This window comes from Homo sapiens, chromosome 1 (assembly GCF_000001405.40).
Source record: "Homo sapiens chromosome 1, GRCh38.p14 Primary Assembly".
NCBI lineage: Eukaryota > Metazoa > Chordata > Mammalia > Primates > Hominidae > Homo > Homo sapiens.
Window position 1 is genome coordinate 212,982,796 of NC_000001.11, and position 8,942 is coordinate 212,991,737.

Below are 8,942 nucleotides of genomic sequence, written 5' to 3' on the forward strand. Positions count from 1 at the left end.
TCTGGGTACTTAGTGGAAGGTGGCAGGGGTGGGGATACAGAAGAAGAAGATGACCTAGTCCCTTTCCTTTGGAAGCACTCAAGCTGTTGATGCATTCAGCTTAATGAGTAGGCAGGTTCCCCACATGGCTTTCAGGGGTAAAGCAAACCCACTCCAATACGGAAAATAAATGTTCTTCCTGCTTGTTAATTCTGAAAATGTTGTCATGGTAACTTGAATTCCTGGCTTAGGACTTTGTCTCTAAAATAAAATATCCCATGATAAAGGTAACAGATGATTCACTATCATCCATTTACATGTTAGTGAGAATTTGATTGATAAGTACGTATTCCACAGTGGGATTCATAGATGAATTTCCCTGGTCCCTCCTTTCAAATTGTTCACAGTCTCTGAGGCAGGTGTAATGATTATGAATTGGCAGGATTCTGGAACAGATGTTGTCTTAGTCCATTTTGTGTCGCTGTAACAGAATACCTGAGACTGAGTCCTTTATAATGAACAGGAAATGTATTGGCCCATGGTTCTGGATGCTGAGAAACCCAAGATCAAGTGGCTGACATCTGGTGAGAGCCTTCTTGTTGCACTGTCCCATGACAGAGGGCAAAGAGAGGGAGAGAGGAAAGAAAGAGAGCAAGCACAAGTGTGCAAAGGGGCCAAAGTCATCCTTTTATAAGAACCCACTTTTGAGAAAATACTAATCTATTCATGAGGGTGATGCCCCCGGATCCACACACCTCCCACTAAGCCCTGCCTCCCAACCCCACTGCACCGAGGATCGAGTTTCCAAACCCATGAACTTTTGGGGACACATTTAAGCCATAGCAAATGTACCAAAGAAAATGCCAGAGCATACAGAGCAAGTAGTGGATTGTGATGGTAGGGAGTCAGAAAATACTTCCTGAGGTTAGTGACATTTGGGATTGCCTTCTAAGGATGTGGAGATGTTGGGGAGAGCATTCTAGACAGGAGACAGCATAAGCCAAGGTGCAGAGGCAGGAGTGGCCATGGTGTCCTTCTCAGATGCTTGGAAAGATGCTTTGAGGTGGCAGAGGAAGGGTGAAGTTTGCATTGTGGTTCAGGGTGTGGGCTCTAGATTCTGGGGACCAACTCTGGCTCCAACACTTGCTAACTGCATGACTTTGCTTTGAGCAAATTCCCTACCTTTCAGTACCTCCATTATCTCCTCTATAAAATGGACAGTACCAGTATCAACCCCGTGGGTTATGGTGAGGATTAATTAATCCACGGAAACCTCTTAGAATGATGCCTGGCACATCGTTAAGTGTCTAATAAATAAAAGCTATTTATAATGGTGATTTCCTGGTACCTGGAAGGCATGGGAAAACTGGTGCAAGTGCGAGGGAAAAGACTAAGAAAAGGAGTTCAAAGGTTCCCAAATTAAATTTCATCTATTTTCAAATGTGCCAATAGCAGAACACAGGTAATGGTAAAGAGTGAAGTTTAAGAAACACACAAACTACAAAAAATTTATGGGCTGAGGGGCTCCAAAGTGAGGAATTAAGGTGAGTGGCCAAAAAGTGGCTTCTCGAGGAGGTGGCAGGCCTGTGGCTAGTTAGCTGCAGTGATCCCAGTGAGCCTCCATGACAGGGATGAGCGGGTGGGCTTTGTTTTCTCCCTGAGCCTACCCTGTAGGCTGTTCTGGCCACTGACTTTCTAGGAGAGACTGTCGGGCACAGGACTGAGGGAGAGATAACAGGTCAGTGCAGATCTAGTCCAACAACTTGAAAATACTGTGAAGCTAGTGTCTTATTTTCTTATATGAAGGGCAGCATATTTAGAGTTTCAGAAGGAGGAGAGGTGTGACTTGGTGTTGAGGAAGATGCCAGGCCAGGAAGGCAACATATGTAAGAAAGCTTCAGAAACTCGGATGAGCTAACTGGTAGGTCCTACAAGGACCATGGAACAAGACAGTCTCTTGTTAAGCACATGCACTGCTTAATTTTCAGAGACAACAGGAGATCTAAAGAGCTACCATGGCTTAGGTCCTACATAGTTTGCAGGGTTACAGGGAAGAAGACTGACTCCTAGAAGTGAGTATGACTCCTGACTTCATTTGGACTATGGCCATTCCTCCCGAGTTAGAACTTGCTAGGAGCATGTTCTCCATACTCCACACAGTAACCTTCCTCAGGTTGACTTAGCACCCACTGTTAGTGGATCAGGTTTGGCTAAGGTTAGGTGTAAGCTGTAGCTTAAACATAATTCACTTTTTTTTTCTTTTTTGAGATAGGGTCTTGCTTTGTTGCCCAGGCTGGAATGCAGTTGTGCAATCTCAGCTCACCGCAACCTCCACCTCCTAGGTTCAAGCGATCCTCCCATCTCAGCCTTCCAAGTAGCTGGGACTACAGGCGCATGTCACCATGTCTGGCTAATTTTTTTTGCTTTTTTTTTTTTTTTTTTTTTTTGTAGAGATGGGGTTTCACCGTGGTGCCCAGGCTGGTCTGAAACTCCTGGGTTCAAGTGATCCTCTCTTCTCAGCCTCCCAAAGTGCTGGGACTATAAGCATGACCCAGCGCACCCAGCCATGATTCACTTTTATGTAAAAGCAGCTCAACAGAGGTGGAAATGGGCTTCCTGCTGCGCTGCCATCTTTAGAGACCATCTTTTTTTTTTTTTTTTCTGAGACAGAATCTCACTCTGTTGCCCAGGCTGGAGTGCAGTGGCACGATCTTGGCTCACTGCAACCTCCGCTTCCCAGGTTCCAGTGATTCTGCCTCAGCCTCCCAAGTAGCTGGGACTACAGGAATGCGCCATCATACCCGGCTGTTTTTTGTGTTTTTAGTAGAGACAGGGTTTCACCATGTTGGTCAGGCTGGTCTCAAACTCCTGATCTCAAATGATCCACCCACCTCAGCCTCCCAAAGTGCTTGGATTACAGGCCTAAGCCACTGTGCCCAGCCCTAGAGACCATCTTGAGGTCCCCACTCCAGCCGTCGCTTCCATGTTCCCATCAGCAGGAAGAACAAAGGAAAGAAAAAGATGAAGGGCACATACCAGTTGTCTTTTGAAGACGTGTCCTACTAACTGCCACACCACACTTCCATGTAAATCTCACTGGCTACAACTTAGTCTGAGGCCATGCGTGGGTACAGGGAGGCTGGAAGATGTACTTTGTATTCAAGGCAGCTATGTACCTAACTAAAAATCAGGGATGGGAGACGGGTGTTTTATACTAAAGAAGGGAAGAATGGATGTTGAGGGGCAACTAATAGACGCTGCTGCACACAGATCGTTAGATAAATCAGTTATGAAAATCTAATACAAATGTAGTTTATATTTGGATAAAAAATATATGCTTACCTAATTACAAAACCAGGAAAGGTAGTATGGAAATAATATTTTACTAGCTCTAGGAAATGACCTGCATTTAATCTTTTTCTAAAGCAAGGAATGCATAGGTACTGCAGGTTTATCCTTTTGCCTTATCCTGCAGGCAAATTGAATTTTTGATTGCTGAATTTTCTACAAGTGGGGCACACTGTGGAGCAGTGATTTACTTTTCTAACCACATTTGCATCAGGCTGATGCTAATGTATGGGGAGTCTACTTGAGAAAGTCTCAAATTAGCTATTTGTAAAGATGACACCACCTCAGGCAAGGAGACAAAATGGAGGCTCACTTCAGGCTTTATGAGAGAACCAGATGCATGTGGACTCTTTAAACCTGACTTGTGTGTAAGAACCCTAGTTCTGTCCACATTAGTGGGCTGAGGGCTAGGGTAGGAATATAAATTTGAATCCCCAAGCAAACATGTGTTCCTTTTCCTGTCAATCCAAGAATGGTCCTCATAGTGTCATCTGGGGGCCACTCCTCCAGGCCTGTAGCAGTGGCTTTGTTTAAGGGAATAGCTAATCTCCAGGGCATGCAGAGGCTGGAGGACACCATCCCCTGAAGGATGGAAGCCTTGAGCTCTGATACAATGAGCAGAGTCTACACACTGAAGTGTAGGGATTTCTACTGGCAGTCAGCTGTGTTAATTAGCATCATGTGTATGACCCAGTCGCTATGGGGAGAGACACAAAGAAATAAGAGGCATAATTCCTGACCGATAAAGGAGGGCACATGGTCAAGCTAAGAAATAAGGCCCATGCAACAGATAAGTAAGGTTACAAGTTATTTGAGTAGGGCCTAGTCAGGGATAGTTTCTTGACCACCTTGAGCAGTCAGGTTTCAAAGGGAATGATCAGACTGTTGATGACTATTCCTTCCCATTTCAGAGAGAGAGAGAGAGAGAGAGAGAAAAGGGGTAGTGGAATTGCTGGCAGAGATTAATGCCATTCACTGAGCTGTGCTTTAGCTAGAAGCTAGCTGTTGATTTCTAGTTCTATCAACATTGAATTAGTTGGACCACTTTTATGCCAGGGAAAAACCATTAGCTGTTAGGAAATCTTTCAAGGGCATAAAATAAGAAACCTTCTAACAATTATATTTTCTTTTTGGTCTTTTTTTTTTTTTTTAATACTTAAGAACAAGGTTCGGCTGGGTGCGGTGGCTCACACCTGTAATCCCAGCACTTTGGGAGACCGAGGCAGGCAGATCACCTGAGGTCAGGAGTTCGAGACCAGCCTGACCAACATGGTGAAACCCCATGTCTACAAAAATACAAAATTGGCCAGGTGTGGTGGCACATGCCTGTAATCCCAGCTACTCAGGAGGGTGAGGCAGGAGAATCACTTGAACTGGGGAGGCAGAGGTTGCAGTGAGCCAAGATTGTGCCACGGCACTCTAGCCTGGGCAACAAGGGCGAAACTCCGTCTCAAAAACAAAAACAAAAACAAAACAAAAACAAGGTTTATGTGTAACCTAAACATGTCTTTTTCTTGCAAAAATGGATGTGAAACTTTTGAATTAGAACTCACTAGCCATACTGAATATCCTAAACTTGATTCATGATCTCAGTTCTCTCTTATCCAAGGTGAGAAGAGGCTCATTAAGAAATGGAAAAGTTGTAAGATACATTGTGAGATTGTTTAGGCATAATCGTATATTGGAAGTCATTTAGGACGCATCTTTAATGAAGACAGATGATGTGCTATTGATGTGAATGTTGTATTTCCCAGCTTGAAGTACTTTCTCACATGACTTTGCATAATTGCTTAGTTGTAGTTTTATGTTGGAAGTGACTTTAGCACGTTTCTAGGGAAGAGATGTTTTGCCACTGAGTGATTTTCCACACTGACATGCTTTTTCAGATGAATCCTAAGATTCACCTTGATTTTATACATTCAAGCCTGAACATTAACCGCTCCCTGGGAACGTGAGTCACCTTTGATTCCTGGGCTTCCTCCAGGACACGAACACTAGGAAGCCAATGTTTCAAGGAGAATTTGACTCAGATTCTTGGCTCTACTGTAGTGTATGTGACTTTTAGACCCTTGCAAGGTTCAAGAGTACTGGGTTTCAAAAGCTATAATGTGACCAAAGTCAGGCTTAAAGCTGCAGAAGCTCATTCCACACCCTGAAAACTTTTCTGAACTCTACATTGAAAGTCTGTTAAAATGTTCCTTAAAACCTTTAAAGGTGGACTTAAGAACAAGAAGTAGAGTTGTGAGCTAAGGCTGGCAGGGTGGGGGAATGGGAGGATGAGACAAATATCAGAAGGATTAGGAAAACCGAGTAGAGGACCTTGAAAATGCTGTTGTCTTTCTTTGCCCCATCCCCTCTCCTCCACCATATTTCTGTCTTTTACCCTTAGGCCTGCACTGCCTGAAAAGAAGGTGGCTGATCTGAGCACTCTGAATGAAGTGGGCTATCAAATCCGAATTTAGCCAAGCCATACCGGCCAGCAAGAGGGTTTCTGTGGTGCTTCTCTCTGCACTTTACCCAGCATCTTCAGGAGGAACTGCAACTATTTATTAAGAACTTGTGAATTTTATTTTTAAGGATTCACCTGGAAATAGAATCTGAGTGGGTGGTAACCATTAGCTTTAAAAAATTCACTAAAAGGCACCATGAAAAGGCTGAAGTAATAAGCCCCACTGGGGTTGGACTATGTCCCTCACTCAAGATCTTAAGGATAACCGTAACTGAAGTTTTATATTTTTCCATTTACCTACTTTCTTTTACTTGCTTTGAACATTATGCCTCACCAATAGTAAATGTTCATGAAATAATCTCTTGAACTTTTGGTATAGTAAGGTAACTCTAACAGTATTACTGTCTTTTTCAGCAATAACAGAAAGCAAAAATGGGTGGGTTTTTTTTAAGCAGTTATTACCTCAGCATTTTGACATCAGATATGCAAACTTAATGGCGTTTTGTTTTTTTATATTCTATTTGTATTCTTTCCCCAGTATTTCCCATGGGGATCTCCACAAGTTTGGAGTTTTTTCCTGGTGCACACACGTGAGGAGATTTAAGGTACTATATGCAAGTGTTTTACTAAAAAGCACTGAAATTCTTCTGGCAATACAAGAACCATTTTCAGGATCTTGGAGTTACTTCCTTCTTAATCTTTCTTAAAGCATTCACTGATGTTTTTGTTTTTTCAAAATGAAACAAAAATATCACATTGAGAAGCTAGTCTATGTTCTGTCACTAACATTTAAACTTTGCAGACTCTAACAAAAAGCACAAGAGGTCACGTACTATTATACAAATTTAGCGGTACTGGATTTACCTCTGACATTAACACACTCAGGCAGAGACCAGGAGTGATCAGCAGGTCTTCAGAACCAAAAAACCTTTCTGTTCACATTTCATCTGATTTTTAAACTGAGGCAGGCTTTGATTCTTCTGAAGGATGCCAAGAATCAAACTAAGGGAGGACTCACTGTTAAAGATGTGTTCTGATGTCTTATATTAAGACCAAATGTGACATGATGTGATTATCTTCCAGTACTTTGCTTTTAGGTACCATTTCATGACATTTTAGGAATGAGTATTGGAAAATATAAAGAATTAGAAAAGCAGCACTTTTTTTTTAATGGAAAAGTCTTCGGTCCAGTGTTACACCTTATAGTGTAATTCAGTCCCTAAGCACAGAATGAATGTCTGGCCTGCATATGGTAGTTACAGTGTAACCTCTGGCTGCAGACCACACAGGACAACCCTAACAGCCTAGTCTTGTATGGTGTAAATATCAAGAGTACAGCTTCAATTTCATTTGCTTTATCTTAGCAACAATGCCAACTCAGGAGAGCAGACGGCCGATTTCAGTGAAGTCTGGTAGTCAACAGATGTTATTTCAGTCTCAGTGCATCTCCTCTGGCTTTCTTTGACTGAAGGTGTTTATAGGAAGGAAGTTAAAAAAAAAAAAAGCTCATTGAGATTCTTTACCAATTCTTTACAAGATTTCTGGGGGTGACAGGGAAAGCAAAAGGACTTCAAAGCAAAAGGGTGCACAAGAGCTTACTTCACCCTGAAAATCAGTATTATTAATGAAAAGTACTGTTTTCTTAAAGAAGTCGAATGTCCTTTAGATGAACAAGACCAAGTATACATCTCCATTAGATTAAAATGTAGCACAGGGTTAAAAATTATCAGTTTAATCTCTTTAAGAACAGTATTATCAGAGTTTAAAATGAGTTAGCTCTGTTTATCTACACACAGCAAACCCATTCGCAGCCTCTTGGCCACATGTATTCAGATGTTTGAAATAGTGAATCATTTCATTTTCATTCTAAAACAATACTGACTTAGCCATATACCTTCTGTTTGTCAATCTGAAACTTGCTTACATCTAATAAGTAGACCTCTTATAACACTGCAACCATTCTAAGAGTTGGAATTTATTTTTGCCAAGTATTAAGTACTGTTACATCTAAAATACAGAATGTCAAATGGTTGCATAGCTTGTTTCCCACAACAAGGAGGAAAAGAACAGGAATACAAACTCTGTAATATGCTGATAAAGAAGCCTTAGAACTGCCAACTGGCTTGATGGTTCAATTAGTAAGCTAATTTCTCCCACACCCGCTCCTTGATTTTTAGACTAATTTTCCCAAAGCAAGGTTTAGTCACACAAACTTGAAAGTACATTTAAAATGTTCTTAGTTGTCATCCTACTTTTATTGCCTATGGAATATGCTAATTTCTAAAAAAAATACGGGAGAGGCACCAAACCCCTAAATTCTAGTGCAATAATTTAAAAAACAAAAAACAAAACAAAACAAAAAACATGTTATATGCACCCCCCTCCCAAAGCTGATTTTAAGACTGGCTAGAATTCAAAATATAAAAAATAAAACTATGAAGTGATTTGAAATCGGTTTTAAAAAGTTGTTAGTGCAAGAGAAATTTTATGTTTAAGCCATCATGGCAATATATGCAAAGTTTAAATGAATGACAGAAATCTTGATTTTAGACTGTATGTTGTGCTGTTTTGAGTACACTTTATTTCGGAGATATTTAGTATTTTCTATACACTCTGAAATCATGAGCATTTCACTTTTTCTAAGTCAATTATTTCATAAGGATTTTATTAATAGATATTGGTAAATAGAACTTTGGAAATCTTAATTCAGAATTCTTACTATACCTGAGTCTTTTGTAAGCTATAGTTTTATGTACAACCTTGTACAGTTTTTTTGACATACAATTCAGAACTTTGTTTATTCTCTTGGACTTTGTTCTGGCCAATACATTTTTTTTAAATCTTTAAGAAGAACTGTGATTGTTTTAGTGGGTATTTTTCTAATTAAATGAAAACTTGTATAATGGTATTTTAGAGAATGCCAGTAAGTGCATGTTTCAAGTTAATGTTTTTCTCATCACTTGTATGTTTCTAACACAGCATGGGACTTTAATAAAACCATCCTGGAAACTTAAGGATTGTTTTTCTTCTAAATATGTAAGATGTGGCCGGGCTCAGTGGCTCAAGCCTGTAATCCCGGCACTATGGGAGGCCAAGGCGGGTGGATCACCTGAGGTCAGGAGTTCGAGACCAGCCTGACCAACATGGTGAAACCCTGTCTCTACTA

At 40.9% G+C, this 8,942-nt stretch overlaps 1 protein-coding gene across 4 annotated transcripts in view; it reads left to right on the forward strand.

Annotated features, from left to right (window-relative positions):
* Positions 1-8,790, forward strand: part of VASH2 (vasohibin 2) — a 41,045-nt gene extending 32,255 nt beyond the window's left edge. For all 4 annotated transcript variants that reach the window (NM_001301056.2, NM_024749.5, NM_001136474.3 and 1 more), the window contains one exon: positions 5,717-8,790. In NM_001301056.2, coding sequence (NP_001287985.1) covers positions 5,717-5,789 — 73 coding nt within the window. In that variant the 3' untranslated portion in view covers positions 5,790-8,790. The remainder of the gene's footprint in view (positions 1-5,716) is intronic.
* The last annotated feature ends 152 nt before the right edge of the window (positions 8,791-8,942 follow it).